Source organism: Homo sapiens, chromosome 9, assembly GCF_000001405.40.
Source record: "Homo sapiens chromosome 9, GRCh38.p14 Primary Assembly".
Lineage (NCBI taxonomy): Eukaryota > Metazoa > Chordata > Mammalia > Primates > Hominidae > Homo > Homo sapiens.
Genome location: NC_000009.12, coordinates 70,114,433 through 70,130,588, shown reverse-complemented (window position 1 = coordinate 70,130,588; position 16,156 = coordinate 70,114,433). Strand labels below are relative to the sequence as shown.

General features: G+C 42.9%; 1 protein-coding gene across 3 annotated transcripts in view; it reads right to left on the bottom strand.

Moving 5' to 3' along the window:
- The window catches only part of MAMDC2 (MAM domain containing 2), a 183,392-nt gene that overhangs the window by 96,384 nt on the left and 70,852 nt on the right, over window positions 1–16,156 (bottom strand). For all 3 annotated transcript variants that reach the window (NR_125850.1, NM_153267.5, NM_001347990.2), the window contains exon 6: window positions 4,174–4,430. Coding sequence is in view for 2 of the 3 variants with exons in the window: in NM_153267.5 (NP_694999.3) it covers window positions 4,174–4,430 (257 nt within the window). In the remaining variant the exon portion in view is untranslated. The remainder of the gene's footprint in view (window positions 1–4,173; window positions 4,431–16,156) is intronic.

Here is a 16,156-nt window from a genome sequence, read left to right as displayed (position 1 = left end):
TTGCTTTCTTCTCTACCAGCAACTTTAACTGTGAGCTCAGTCAACCACCTTCTGCCTGTGACCATGGGGGAATCAGATGTCAGCACAGCCTTCACCTGTGCTGGAAAAACCACCCAGGTATGCATTCCTCTTGTGTGAGTTAATAACCTGAGAAGACGCAGCATGGAACAGGGCTTGAAACTTCAGTGCCTACAAAGTCCAGGCAAGTAGTAGAAATGCAGAAGTGGGCTTGGTATGGTGCAGCCTCTTGTGAAATAGAGACAGAAACCCTGTCTAAAAGGGCAGCTGTCACTCAGCCTCATCAATTGCTGATATGTGGGAAGTCAGGCCTGTTATGGGTTGACCTGCGTCCCCCTGCATCCCTCACACACAATTCCTGTGTTGAAGTGCCAACCTCTAGTATCTCAGTATGTGACCTTATTTGGGAATAGGGTCACCGCAAATGTAATTAGTTAAGATAAGGTCATGCTGAAGTAGAGTGAGCCTCTAATTTAAACGACTGGTGTCCTTATAAAAAGGAGAAATTTGGATGCAGACACTCTCACACACACACACACACACACACACACACACACACACAGAATGCCATGTGAAAATGAAGGCAGAGAGCTACAAGCCAAGGAATGCCAAAGATTGCCAGCACACCACCAGAAATGGGAGAGAGGCATAGGGCAGATTTTCTCTCATGGCCCTCAGAAGGAACAAGCCCTGCCAGCACCTTGATCATGAACTTCTGGCCTCCAGAACAATGACATACAAAATTTCTGTTTCTTAAGCGACCTGTTTTGTGCTACTTTGTTATGGGCAGTCCTAGCAAACAAATACGAGGCCTAATGTCTCTGTATCTAGCAAATTATCAAGAGGATCTGACTCTAGATTTTATCTGAAATCTTTGAGTTTGTCAATGCTGGCAATTAATTAAAAAATTAAAACAAAAATAAAATGAAAAACCCCACTCCACAGCCAGACAGATCACCACTGTGGACTAGATTTGACCTCTAGGCTTCTAGTTTGCAGCTTCTTCTGAATAGAATAGTTTCTTGGAAGCAGACAGACCAGAGTTCAAATCCCATTTTCATCACTTATTAGCTAGGTGGGCCTGGATATATCACTGTATTAGTCTGTTTCAATGCTGCTGATAAAGACATACCGAGACTGGGTAATTTATACTGGAAAAAGAGTTTAATGGACTTACAGTTCCATGTGGCTGGGGAGGCCTCACAATCATGGCAGAAGGCAAAGAGGAGCAAGTCACATCTTATGTGGATGGAAGCAGGCAAAGAGAAGAGAAGAGAGCTTGTGCAGGGAAACTCATCCTTATAAAACTGTCAGATCTTATGAGACTTATTCACTATCACGAGAAAGGCATGAGAAAGAACTGCCCCCATAATTTAATTACCTCCCACTGGGTCCCTCCTACAACACGTGGGAATTCAAGATGAGATTTTGGTGGGGACACAGCCAAACCATATCAATCAGTTAACCTCCCAGGGTCTCAGTTTTCTTATCTATAAAACACCTGTCTTGTAGGACTGTTGAGGAGATTAAATGAGATAATGTATACAAATATCCGAGCACAGAGTCAGGCACATAACAAGCTCTGAACTAATTTTCTATCTTTTTCTGAAGGTTGGTTGGCCGCAGTGGTTCATGCCTGTAATTCCAGCACTTTGAGAGCCTGAGGTGGGCGGATCATTTGAGCTCAGGAGTTTGAGACCAGCCTGGGCAACATGGCGAAACCTCATCTTTACAAAAAATACAAAAATTAGCTGGGTGTGGTGGCACATGCCTGTAGTCCCAACTACTTGGGAGGCTGAGGTGAGAGGACTGCTTGAACCTGGGAGGCAGAGGTTGCAGTGAGCCAAGATCACTCCACTGCACTCCAGCCTGGGTGACAGAGTGAGACCCTGTTTCAAAAATAATTTTTTTTTTTTCTGCAGGTTGACTCCCTCTTGAACTTCTATTCAGGTTCCAGCCTAGCTAGCCACTAATTAGCTTGAGCAGGCCCATTCTTCTCCAGCCCTCGGTTTCTTCATTTTTTGAAAAGAAAAAGAGTTTGGACAAAATAGTTCTTAAAGTACCTTTCACCTTAACAGTAATGGTCCCATAAGGACCTGGTACCTAAACTCTCCAAAATCCACGGGGAAGCCTAGAAGTTTGTCTTTGCCAAGGGGGAAGGGCTATGAATGAAGGAAAAGATGTGGACTTATGAGAAGGGGGCAAATTAACATTACAAACTTAACACAGGTCCATGACATTTAGCTCTCAAGGCACTAGCTGGTAAAGAAAGTGAATGGCAAAATTTACACTGAGCCGGTGGGGAAAGAATGCTATTCCTGATCAGCATGTGCTAATCACAGCCTCTGTGCCAATGTGTTCTCTTGTTCAGACAGTCTCCAATGTTTGTTTTCCTTCTCAAAATTCACTTGAGAATGTGATGACATTAAACTCACTGATTTCTTCAGGACAACTTTCTTTTCCTGATGAGTGAGAGCAAATAACACCAGTGAATAGTTCAGACTAGTAGAGCAAAATCACATGTGTTGACCCAAAGGATGTGTATTGAGGTTTAGTAGTGTCCAGAGTTGTAACTTTTCAAGTATTGATTTTTAAAAATTCAGCAACATTTGATTCAGACAAATGTTGCCCAAGGAGTTTATGGTTGGATGGAAGGAGTTGGTAAAGAGAACGCTGTCAGTGTGTGTGTGGGACTCATCTGACTTTGACGGGAAACTTTTGAAGCAGTACATGCATTTCTTTTCCTCCTCGTAACCCAAACTCACAGAAAATTTTCCACTGGGCTGCAAGAACAAATCGAGACCTGGTTGGACTTTGGGATAGGAAATAGCACACATTCTGCAAGAGACACTGTGCTCTCTCTAGAGTGTTTTTTTTTTGTGGGGGGAGGTAGGGAGGTAAATAGGAAGGGGGTGTGGGGAGAGGCAGGCACGCCATCAGTAGATGAAACACATCAGAAACTAAGACCTAACCCTGTTCTCTGCAGCTCTACATCAGGCTAGCAGATGGCACCACCGAAACCCATCCAGAGGAATAATCTGTTTCTCTGGCACTTTAAAGGGAACTGGAGAAGATATTGCAAAAAGCACAAAGTGAAAAGTGGAGGATATTAATAACTTGGGGTAACCAAGACTCTACTTATAGCTCCAAATCTTTATAGCAATCTTATAGCAACCATATTGCTGCACCCACTGATTCTAGAGGTCCTAAGGGGTCCTCAGACAGAGCTGGGCCTCCTTCCTCAGCTTTCGGTCAGATTTTAGTCCACGAACTTAGTTACGGAGTTCTCTGGCATTCACCAGCTGTGTGACCTAGAAAAAAATGTCCAATTTCTTGGACACTCTGTTTTCTTCCTTCTTGTGTGTAAATACGGAGATAATTTTATCTACTTGGCTGGATAGTCAGTACTGAAAGTACTTGTAGCTTCTGAAATACATACATAGATACAGACATGTATTCATGTACGGGCTTAGAAAAAGGTCGAAAAGATAGTAGAACTTTAATGTTAGTAGTCCTCCCCTTTGTGAAGTTGGCTGAGGGCATTTTAATTCATTTCATTTCTCTGAATTTTCTAATTCTTCTGCATTGAACACGTCACTTATATAACTGGAAAAAGTTTTAAAATGAAGGCATCAAGCCTTGTTTCAAACTAGGGCCATAATAGCAAGTTTGTTTCTGATTTTACGACATTATTTATGCTGCAAAAAAAGAAATGAGTCACTTTTTCTAAAAAAAAAAAAAAAACAGTTCACTCAAGTAAGGAAAACCTTCAAAACTGCTCTCAGGAAGGGTAGCTCAAGACTGAGTTTTACTTGGAGGGTTCTGATCTCCTCTTTTGAACCCTCTGTGACCACAGTGCAAGGTTCAGAAGGAGAGGGTCGCCAAGAAGTCTAGTTGGTTAACTGGCTTTAGCCATATTTGTTCTCATAAAAATGACTCTTGCTAGGAAATGAAGGTGATAAAGGAGGCAGGCAAAGGGGACACAGAGGAAGGGAGAGCAGGAGAGGGGCTGAGGATGAGAAAGAATACAGTTGAGGCACAGCAGAAAAGACAGACTGAGTGTGAGGCTGCACAGCCTCTCCATCTCCAGCCCTGTGTGTGGGTGGCATGTCTAAAGAGTGCCAGTGAACAGCTGGTGCGCACCAGTACACCTACCTCCATGGGGTAAGGAGCACTGAACTCGACCTCCGCAAGGTTCCAGGCAGCATTCCCTGGCCTGTCTGCTTTCCAGATTTCCTCGTAAAGGCCAGCCACATCCCGAGTGTAAAGGGAAAAGACATTGTCATTCCCCTGCTGGATCTGGTAATAAAATGACAGGCAGCCAGCCATGGGGGCCGTGGTCAACGGGGAGATGAGCTGTGCCACCTCCTGGAAGTGCTTCACATAAACTGAGTCCACGTACATGTAGTGGCCTGAAAATCACACAGACAGAGCACAGTGTTAAGAGTTGGGGGTGGGGGAGGGGAAGAGGTTCAGGCGAAATGGTGTGATTCTGCATTCTAAATAATCCAGTGGGAATGGTGAGGAGGAAGTGGATGAGTTACAGCTGACAGAGGTTTGGCCATGAGTGGATGGAGAAATGTTGCAGCTGAGAGATGGGTCCATGGGGTTCATTGCACTCTGCTAAATACAGGATGAGACCATTCCTTTTACTTTCCTTACTTTTGATTCAAGTAAAATATACACAGAGAAAGGTAGATGTGTCATCTGTCAAGTGCTTAAGTTTTCACAAGCTGAACACACCCATGGAGAGAAATAGAACATTACCTGAGAAGCCACTCCCTCCCAATCCTTATTTGAGTCATAAGACTCTGAAGAGCACACAAAGACAAAGCTTACCATCTATTCTTAAAAGGGCATGGAGAGACCCTCCTGCACATGTTTACAATTAATGCAAGATGTCACCATGTGTTTTTTGAGTGAAACTAAGATTTTGAATTCCAACTATATGGCAATTTGTGTGTTGTTAATAGCATGCAAGTCAATCGACACTGAAATTTGGAGGAGTGAATGTGTGGTACCACTCTTGGCAGGTCTTTGTGGGCTCTGGACCCAGAGGCTGGCCTCCATTAGGGGCATCTTGGTGAAACACAGAAACCATGTGGCAGAATGGAGACAGCCTTGACTTAGCATTGAAGAGAAATGAGGTTGAATCCTGCTCCACTTCTTACTAGCCCTGTGACCTTGAACAAGTTTCTGAGTATGTCTGGGTCTCAATTTCCTGATCTCTAGAATGACAATCAAATACTTTCCTCATAGAGGCAATGAATATTACATGGAGTCATGTATGTAAAGTGCTTAGCGTGTGCCTGGTACATTGTAGCTGTCTAACAATTACAACGCCATTCACAATTCTAGAACCATGCTTGCCCTATAGCCTGTTTTGTATAAAGGGTAAGCTATCATTGTTAGCAATTTTTTCTGAATTCATTTGAGTGATGACAAAGAAGTGCTATTCAATGCAGCTTCAACAGAATGCCCTTTCTGTTTACAAGCTCAGAATAATTACAGCTTAATATCTTCATTTCCATGACATAATTTCTGGTTAATAAGAATTCCTGGCCAGGTGCAGTGACTCATGCCTGTAATCCCAACACTTTGGGAGGCTGAGGCGGGAGCATTGCTTGAGGCCAGGAACTTGAGACCAGCCTGGGCAACATAGTGAGACCCCTGTCTCTACAGAAAAGCTTTCTTAAAATTAGCTGGGCATGGTAGCATGCACCTCTGGTCTTAGCTATTAGGGAGGCTGAGGCAGGAGAATCACTTGAGCCTATGAGTTCAAGGTTGCAGTAAGCTATGATCACACCACTGTACTCCAGCCTGGGTGATAAGCAAGACCCTGTCTCCAAAAAATAAAATAAGGAAATAAAGAATACCTTTTCTCCATTATGAAGAGCAGAGCAGAAACAAATATTAGGAGGAGCATATGCATTTATACACTGGACATTTACTGTGTATCTAGTACATAGCCCGGTATGTGGTGGGCTCTCAACACATGGTTATTTAATGTACAGACATGGTCTCAGAAAGGTCCTCATCTCAACATGGCAGAAGGGAAAAATGGACAGGTCAAAGCTCACTTTCTCCTGGTGGCAAGTTGTTCAACATCCTGAATCCCCTGAATAATCTTCTTTGAATATAGTTTACCTTATCGTTTTGCCAAACCACACAACAGTGAATAAACAGAGATTACAAACTCAAATTCTCAGAGGAGGCAGCCAGATTAAGTGTATGAGTGAAGTTGATTGAGTCAGGGAGAAAATAGAGAGTGGTAAATTAGTAGCCAGTATTTGAAATCATATTTCCCCCACATCGAGAAACAGAAATCAAGCTTATCTGGAAAAATAAAAACATCTGATAGTCCTAGGCCCATATTCTTATGCGGCAATAACCGGCTTGGGGTGAGAAGCCTGGCCCCTCACCCCCATGTTCTCCAGCCTCCCTGAGAGAGCAGGGTCTACTGCAGCGGATGCCCGGCACCCAGCCCCATGCTGCAGGCTTTCCCCATCCTAGCCTGGAATTCAGGTTTTCACGGCAAATCTATCCATTTTTAAGGGATGCTTCCTGTGTGGTTTGCTAGGGCTGCTGTCACAAAATACTGCAAAGTGGGAGGCTTCAGCAACACACATGTATTGCCTCACAGTTCTGGAGTCCAGAAGTCAAGGATCAAGGTGTCAGCAGGGATTGTTCCTTCTCAGGGCCGTGAGGGAAGGATTTGTTCTGGGCCTCTCTCCCGGCTTCTGGTGGTGTGCTGGCAATCTTTGGCATTCCTTGGCTTGAAGGCCTCTGCCTTTATCTTTACATGGCATTCTCCCTGTGTACATTTCTCTCTGTGCCCAAAGTTCCCCTTTTAATAAGGACTGCGGTCATATTGGATTGGAGGCCCACCCTACTCCAGCATGACCTCATCTTAGCTAATGACCTCTGCACCCATCTATGTCCAAGCAAGGTCACATTCTAAGTCCTGGGGGTTAGGACTTCAACATTTGAATTTTGACTGTGCACAATTCAACGCCTAACACTCCCCACCATATTTTTTTAAACTTTGTATGCGCCAAATAAACATATCTGCAGGCTGGAAACCACTGTTGGCTCCACTTTGCCACCTCTGGGCAGGAATTTTAAAGGAAGAATCGGAATGACAGACTGGATAGAATCAAAGAACCTCTGATATGGAGGGAAGGTCACTCCTCCATATCCCAAGCTTGGAAACCCTCTAAAGCACTCCTGGTGGCCAGCAAGCCTTGACGAGAACATTCTAGTAGTGGAGAATGCCTATGACCAGTTAGCTTCTGTAATCTGCTTCTGTTCTCTAAGAACTCATGTGAATATCAAAGACAGAGATGAAGTCTTCATTGCTCTTTGTAACATGACTTACCAATGAAACAGAATCTTTTTGTGAGATATGAGCAGGGAGAACTGAGTGGAGGAGAGCTACAATTCTTTGTATTATAATGTATGTGTAATACTTTGTTTCCTGGATACCTAATTGCAGGGGCCACAGAGATCCCCTTTAAGAGAACTTGCTGAAGGAACCATCATTGACTGGGTCTCCAGCCACCTCACCTTTGGACCTGCAGGAGAGTTTGTACCAAGACCACACCACTCTGGGCTGCTCCCAGGCAGTGACCAAGCATAGCAGAGGGGCAGGCCATTCTGTCTGCCATGGGGCCCTTCAGCAGCTCCCATCGGCCCAGGTTCTCCTCTTCCTCAGGGGTCAGGTTTGCGTCCTGAGCTGAAAGTTTTCCCTACCCAGGGCATCTTTATGACTTTTGTGGGCTCATTCCTCCATAAAAAAAATAAAAATAAATAAAATAATCTTAACATTTTAGTTTATTACTACATTGGCATAAAGAGGTATATGATGTAGGCTAGAAATTATTATATTCATTTTACCCTTCCAATTTTCAAATAAATAAAATTAAAATATTGTCATGGACCCCTAAAAATGCCATGGCTCCTAGGCACTATGGCTGCTGTGCCCCATAAGGACACTGGGCCTGTCCCCAGCTACTCTGGCTCCTTTCTCCTCAGAGCCTTCATAGCCATCTCTCCCAGGAAATCTCTTTCCCACCTAGTCCCAGCTTAGTGTCAGCTTCCACAGCCAGCCTTGTTGTAAATTCATCTTCCTTGCAGATGACGGACATCTGAGAGTTGTCTTTAAAGGGTAGTAACTCACCTGCTGTGTGGACAATATTTTGTGCATTTGCAGCCAAAGTGCCTCACTAGCAACTTGTGCTCAGGATGCTAGGCCAAGTGAACCACAGTCACATTTCTGATCCAAAAAGCATCCAGAAAACACAACATGATCTGCCCAAAGTGAGTCAGAGAGGCTGCTGGGAATAAGACCAAGACTGCTGACACTAAGTCTCATACAGAACCACCAGACTAGACCGCATGCTCTTGTACCCTTTTTCTTTCCATCATTCATTTGTTGCCAAAGCTGGGTTCTATTTACTGACAATTTGAGCAACATTAAGCTTCTCATTGGGGAACAAAAGGTAGCTCATCATGAGTTTACTATCTCAGTTGAACTGTTAGGGGTGATTCAGAAATTGTCATTCAGGTGTCTGCCCCAGGAGAAGAGGCTGGAGGAATGACAGCCAAACCAGGCTGAGTGTGTCATCAGATACAATCTGTTCTGAGGAAGAGGAGTCAATGGGTAGGTGGCTGCAGGTGCCATTGTATTCTCCTTTCTAAAAACAATGATGGTAGCCTGGAGTTCTTGGAAAATTTTGTCCAGTGTCTGATATTAGGAGAATCTTCCTGCCTAGTTCAATGAACCCAACACTCCTATCTGGCATAGGGCTCTAGAGCTTCCAGAACCTCTGGAAAAGGCTTTTTTTTTTTTTTCCTTTGTCAGATCGTTAAGATTCAAGTAGGATGAAACTAGGTATAGATGGACTTTAAGTAGACAGAATCCTTTAATCTGCCAAATCACTGGATACCCTGCAGGCCACAGAGATTCTAAAGTATTACAACTTGAACTGAAAACGAAAGAGGTTATATGGGGGAAATGGGTTCCCCCATAAGATTAAGAATTGAGAAGCTTATTGCCATTCCTCTACAATCTGTTCTGCTTTGCCATACACAGAGTGAAAATCAATCTATTATTACCTAATTCTGGATTATACACAAAGAGCCTGAGGTTTCTAGGCAAAAAAAAAATTCAAATTCAGTTGAAAGAAAGATCACAGTTCTCAGTCATGCTGCCAGTGCTCAGGCCCCTTCTGGGATGGAGCCTGCAGTGCTGGTGTATGCACACTTGCTCCTGAAGAGGCTGTCTGTTCCTTTCTTGCAGCAGCCCTCTGTATTAGCTGAACTTTTCATGTGGAACCAGTGGCCCCTGGTAGTCAGCCATTTCCCCTTGCATTAGGGAAAGAACTTTAAAGGCGGTTCCTGAATGTTTATTTTCAAGCAGTCTGGCTCACCAGCATTCCCCTAAGACTGCCCTTGGCTTGGCCGCGGTGCCAGAGGCATCCTCTGACTCAGCTGTGATGCGCCCTGCTGGCCACATTTGCACTCCAGTTGTGTTGTCTGCTCCAGTGTTGCTGGTTGTCTGGACAAGCTGTCTCCCCAGTAGGGCAGACAACCTGGTCTGAAGAGATGTATGCCAGAGGGAAATACCCACTGGTCTGCTGCCATGGTGAGCAGACGGCACCCAAAGATAATGAGTTATGATGCATGTTTTTCCACCCTATGAGTCTGACAGTTATCTTCACAAGCCTTTAGTTGTAAGGGTTTTGGTGGCCCTTACTATGATAAAGTCAGACTCTAGTCTTTTTATACAGCTTTCAAGGATGACGTAAGCATGAATGAATATTACGTGAGACTTCTCCTATCTGTGCTAAGACCTCAAAGCCCCAAACAATAAGTGACAACAACCTCTATTTTCTAAAGAGTGGTGCTAGACTGTCAATATGTTAAGTGGCAGCCCCTGGCACCTACCCCAGCTCTACAAGTGTTAGCCCATCTCTCCCTTGTAGCCTGTGCATATGAGAAGGCTCGAGATGAATCAGAGAGATTGGAGATGGGGTTTCTATAAAGAGTTGGGTTAGAGCTGCCCTGCTATGTGTTTCCTTTTGACCTCTCCAGGGAAGGCAAGGGGATTGCTTCCCTTTTCTTACCTTGATCTAAAGGAGGGGGCTTAAGCGAACCACTCATGGAAGAGGTAGAGGAAGGAAACTGCCATGTAACCTCATCCCCTCCCTTTTGAGCAGAAATTTCTGAGCTCTGCAGTTGCTCTGGACCTTGAGATGAAAGTAATCAGAGTTCTTGAAAAAGGTTGATCAGTGATACTGGAGTGTGTGTGTGTGATGCAGAGATGGAGCCTGGCACTGGTGCATACATCTAAAGGCAAAAAACTGACTATAGGGACCCGTAGGGGAAGAGTAGAGAAAAAGGAGTTTGTTGCCAGTGAAATGCACTTCCAGAGTTTGAGGGGGCAATTTAGAAGGCAGCTGGGCTACAGTACCTTAAAAGGACTCTTCTCAAGAGAACTGCCTACCAGTGCGGTAATTCCATTAGAAGGGAGCTGGTAGGGCATACCGTGACTTATATGAGCTAAGCAGGATTCACAGATGGTCAGCCAGAGAGTTGCTCATCCCTGTCTGTCAACACTAAAGTGGGATCCCCCATTGGCCATGACAGGAATGCCAGAATTTGGCCATGTGCTGTATGAAGGTCATCAACTCTAGATTAAATAGCAAGAGGCAAGTGAAACCTTTTGTCCCTAGCCTTTGCCTTTCTGTTCCATCCCCACCCTGCCCATTGCCTCCCAACTCTGAAGCAGCCAGAAGCAGTACAGTAAGAGGGAGAAGTAGGGAAGAAAAAGGTGAAGTATGAAGAGACAAAGCACAAACCTTTCTCTCTACTGCTGTTGTGTGGCCCAGTCTCTGGGAAGATCTGAACTAGATGAGACATTGCAGTTGTGACTTGACTGCATCTAATCCTTGAAAATGAAGGTGTTTATTAATACCTGAAAGTAACTGGAAAGCCACAGTAAGTCATCCAAGGGCAGAGAAAGGAAATCCAGCAGACCTTGCACAAAGAAAATGGTAAGAAAATTAAGAAAGCTGCTTCCCTACCGAGTACTTACACCACGCACCAAATGGATCAATGCAGAGAGTAAATAAATAAGTCCTGTTAAAATGACTCTTGCTCATTCCAAACTGAAATGAGAAAAGAGTGTCACGAGTCATGGAGAGATGATCCAACCATCTCATGATGTTTGATGGAATTAAATAACTCTAACCTTATTTTAGATTTTGAAACCTTGTCCAGCTTCTTCCATAATAGCACCACAAGCAGGCTTGGTTTTTTAAATCTTAGCAAAGAGATGCATCCCTCATTATTTTTCCAGCAATCATCTTTTTTTTTTTTTTTGCTAAGGTATGTAGAAAACAGTAATGATCTGAGCTGTCAGTAGGTTACCTCCTGAAAGATTTTGTTTCACTTCATAAAATATGAATAAAGAAAGAAACCCATATGTGATGAATCAGAATTAAGAAAATACAGGATAAAAATCACATCCCCTCCAGTATTCCAAAGATGTCCTATCACAATTCTTACTACATTATTTTAGTCATTTCCATCATCAGACACTAATTTGGGGGAACAATGCTCATTAAAAACCTTGACTCAATGTTTGGGGCAGATTGTTAGGAACATACAAGGAAATGAAGGAAAACTCATATCACATTGTAGTTTTCAGAAATTACATTCACTCTTTGCTTTTCTACAACACAAAGACTAGCACTCTCCTGGGAAGACTTCCCTCAACCTTCTCTGCAGTTCTGAAATTCCTAAGTAGACAATGAGCTTCCCTTCTACGTGCTGTTTCTCCAGTTTTTACCTGAAAGCAAAGGCAAAAGCTGCGTCCGGTATATGAATGAACACAAGATGAACTCACATAGAGCAAAATCTGCTGTTGCGGGCAGACATCTGAACCATTTAATCTTTACTTTGCCACCCAAATTGATAGAACTCCGGGGAAATCAATATATGCGGTAGAAAGCAAATATGATAAGAGAGGGAACCTCTTTCCTTTTTAGAGCATTGGAGGGTTTATTTTGTTTTGTTTTAAAGAATGATACGGATCAAATCTTTGAGTCCTATGGGCAGAGCTTTTCAAATAAAATATTTTAGAGTCTTTTGAACTCATCATTTTTGGCCCTATCCTCTATAGGGGAAAGACTTACAGAGGACTCCAGGCATGAGGACTGTGTGTGTGTGTGTGTGTGTGTGTGTGTGTGTGTGTGTGTGTGTGTGTGTTGAGTGGGGATGTTGGCTAATGAATGGACAAAATATTAGTCCAAAGGTTGAAGAGAACTTGGAGTGAAATAGCAGGAAAGAGTGGAATGCAGGCAGTCAGGCTTCCTGCTAATCATAAGTAGGAATGTAGCCTGGAACTCAGGGGTTCCTCTGCCATGATCACATACCTTGGGATTCTCAAATGCTCTCCAAATATAAAATAAACCATCCACTCTCATGCCTCTACACTTTTGCACATGCTACATTTGTCTCCCCCTTATGCATCTGGCCAAATTCCAGTTCTACTATTACTTCCTTAAGAGGGCCTTCTCTGTACCCCAAAACCAAGGTAATCTTTTGTCTGTGGTTTCATATCATTTATTTCATACCTCTATTAGTCATACATTACTGTGCATGCTTGCAAGTTTATGTAGCATTTTGGTATTCAGATAATCTGAGAAATGCCATAATGTACATGAGCACAGAACTATATTACAGGTGGTGAGAAATCCTGAAATAAAGAAATCTGTTTAGCTTTCTTTAATGCAGAGTTTCCCCAGTTTATTTGACCACATATCACCTTTGTGTCCCATACAAGGATTAGTTTACTAAAAACTGGTATTATAGGGAAGGACATTTTGGGAAAAGTTGGTTCCTGTAAACTCTTTGAGGTTAATGACTGTTTTTTTTTTTAAAGCATCATTTTTTTAAAATTATACTTTAAATTCTGGGATACATGTGCAGACTGTGCAGGTTTGTTACATAGATATACATGTGCCATGGTGGTTTGCTGCACCCATCAACCCATCATCTACATTAGGTATTTCTTCTAATGCTATCTCCATCCCCTGACAGACCCTGGTGTGTGATGTTTCCCTCCCTGTGTCCATGTGTTCTCATTGTTCAGCTCCCACTTATGAGTGAGAATGTGTGGTGTTTTTCTGTTCCTGTGTTAGTTTGCTGAGAATGATGGTTTCCAGTTTCATCCATGTCCCTGCAAAGGACATGAACTCATCCTTCTTTATAGCTGCATAGTATTCCATGGTGTATATGTGCCATATTTTCTCTATCCAGAATGACTTTTTTTATGTCACCAGGGTATGCAAGAATGTAAATATAAATACATGTAAAAAGTGCTTATTATGTGTTTGTTGAATGAGTGAAGGAATGAATAATGATCAATGAAGAAGCGTCATTCTGGTGTTGAGGCTCTGACTGGACTTACTATATAATCCCCTGGATGGCTGGAAGGTGCGTAGTCTTCTTAGACTTCCTCCCTTCAGCCCTCAGGTCAGCTTCTTTTTCAGCCCACAGTATTGACATATGGGGACTAAGCAATGCTAGTAGGAAAAGCTGCCTGCCTTGGGGAAGTATTCTAGAATAGCCAAGGAAGAAGAGGAAGAATGGGAAAATAGAGAGAGGGAGATGGGAGGGGAAGAGGGAAGAGAGGCAAGTACTTATGTCAGGGGTGACAGCACCCTACCAGCAAGTCTTAGTGCTTCTCAAGGATGACCACACCACTATGCTTACGTCTTGACCCTTCTGGTCAAGACATTAGAAAATCCAGGGCCTCTTTTTCTCACCCCTTGGTCCCTTTAGTCCTCTTTTTTTTTTTTTTTTTCTAATGCCAAATGCTATGTGCTTATAAGTATCCAGGAGGGACTCAAGCCATTTTGAAATAGATCTCACTGAATGGTGAACTTGGAGATTTTGGTAAATAGCATTAGGCAAGGAGAGAAAAGTAAAATATTGGAACTCAAACGCATCTTAGAGATCATTGAATTCAAATTGCTCATTTGCAGATGCATCAATGGAGACACTAAGAAATTAAGGGTTTAGTCAAGGTAATAAAGTACTCTGATAACTGGGCCTGGAGCACAAGTATTTGGACTCCTAGCCTGGGGCTCTTTCTCTATCCCTAGGGACACAAATATAGTCAGAATATTCTATGATTCAGATGGGCATGAGGAAGGACTAGGAGAATTACACTCTTCAAAGGATGAATTGCACTCAGGTAACACAAGCAAATGGATGATTTGACACTAGTCCACTGCTCTGTTGCCTCTTCCAAGAAATATATGTTCTCCCCAGCCAGCTACCTCTTGCCATCGAGGATGAAAAATGAAACACTGAATAATCACTGAATCATAACATTGGTTACCCACAGGGTTTGACTTTGGAACGAATTTTTAAATGATTTGGGAAAAGTTCTTTAACACTTCCCCATTGTTAAATTTGCCTCTCTGTGCAACTGTGATAATGACACAAGAAATAATCGTCATTTTGATGCATCAGCCTTTCAAGATCCTTTCTGTTCCTTGTATTAGATTCTTAAGATATGACAGAAAAACAATCGCAAAACTAGCCTATTGTCACACATGAAGAAAAAGTCATCTGGCTTTTCTTTCCTGAAACCCCAAGAGATTGTTAGTTGCTTTACTCATTTACATAAAGCTCTCCAGAGTTAGTGACATTTTATTATTTTGAGTTAACCCAACTGTCTTTTAAAATACTCATGCAGATTCATGGATTACTTTGCCATGACTGGTTATCATTCACTCTACACAGAGCACTTATTTATAGTGTGGTTCCTACAAAGGGCCCCAAATGAGGACGGGCCACTTATTTATAAGGTAAAAATATGGGCTATCCGTAGAAAAACTCCAATCCTTTGTCACTGTCAAAAGTGCTAAACAGCACTTTGGGAGGCCGAGGCAGGCGGATCACCTAAGGTCAGGAGTTCGAGACCAGCCTGGCCAACATGGGGAAACCCCATCTTTACTAAAAATACAAAAATTAGCTGGACAAAGTGGTGGGTGTCTGTAATCCCAGCTACTTGGGAGGCTGAGGCAGGGAGAATTGCTTGAACCTGGGAGGTGGAGGTTGCACTGAGCTGAGATTGCACCACTGCACTCCAGCCTGTGCAACAGAGCAAGACTCTGTCTCAAAAAAGAAAAAAAAAAGGGCTGAAACTTGCTTTGCTTTTAAAGGTAGGAAGTACATAAACATGCTTTTTTTTTTGTCTTATCTCAATTTCTTATGTAAGTGACCCCAGATGCATCTGAAGAAACAGTTTCTGGGGGATTCTTCTGTACTCTTGCTCCACCTTTTTACTCTCCATCTATTGAAATAATCTCTGTCATGTTAATCCATCTAAATACACTGCTGTGATGGTGTCTCTCCCCTGCCCAAACACCTGTGTGGCCTCCCATTGTCAATGAAATAAAGTTAAAATCTCTTTCCTGGCATTCCAGGCATTTTAGAATTTGCCCCTGCACTGCTTTCTCAGCCACATCTCTCCCACCATCCACCCCTTGTAGCACAACCACTGTATCATTGCTCTTAGCTTTTTCTCATCTTTGTCAAAATCATACCCATCCCCGAAATACAGTTTACTTCTTTTATCATGTCTTCTAGGACATCCAAGCAGTGAGGGACCTCTTTTGTCTCTGAATTCCCAACACCTTTCTTTTTTGATGGAGGAAGGAGACCACTCTTATTGCACTTGACACATACCACCCTTTGTTAACATCCATTTGTGGTAGAAATCCCTTTTCCTTTCTTGAAAGCGTCTTCCTTGAAGCTGGGAAGGGGCCATAGAGGATCTGTCATTTTAACTGTCATTTACCCCATCATATCTAATGCTGGGTCAAATTAATGAAAATGCTAGATTTAAAGTTGCGTTTGTTTTAAACAGGCAACTCCATGAGACTCCAGTCTTTTTATTTGTGGTTACTTATAAAGAGCTTATTCTAAGAAGCCTGAATGTATTGTAAAAGAAACTTGTCAAATGAAGGTTGCAAAATAGAAGTTGGCCAACAGGGCCTGACCGGCAAGTGTGTTTTATTGGCCCACACTGTGATTTTAGAAAATATTCACCAACTTT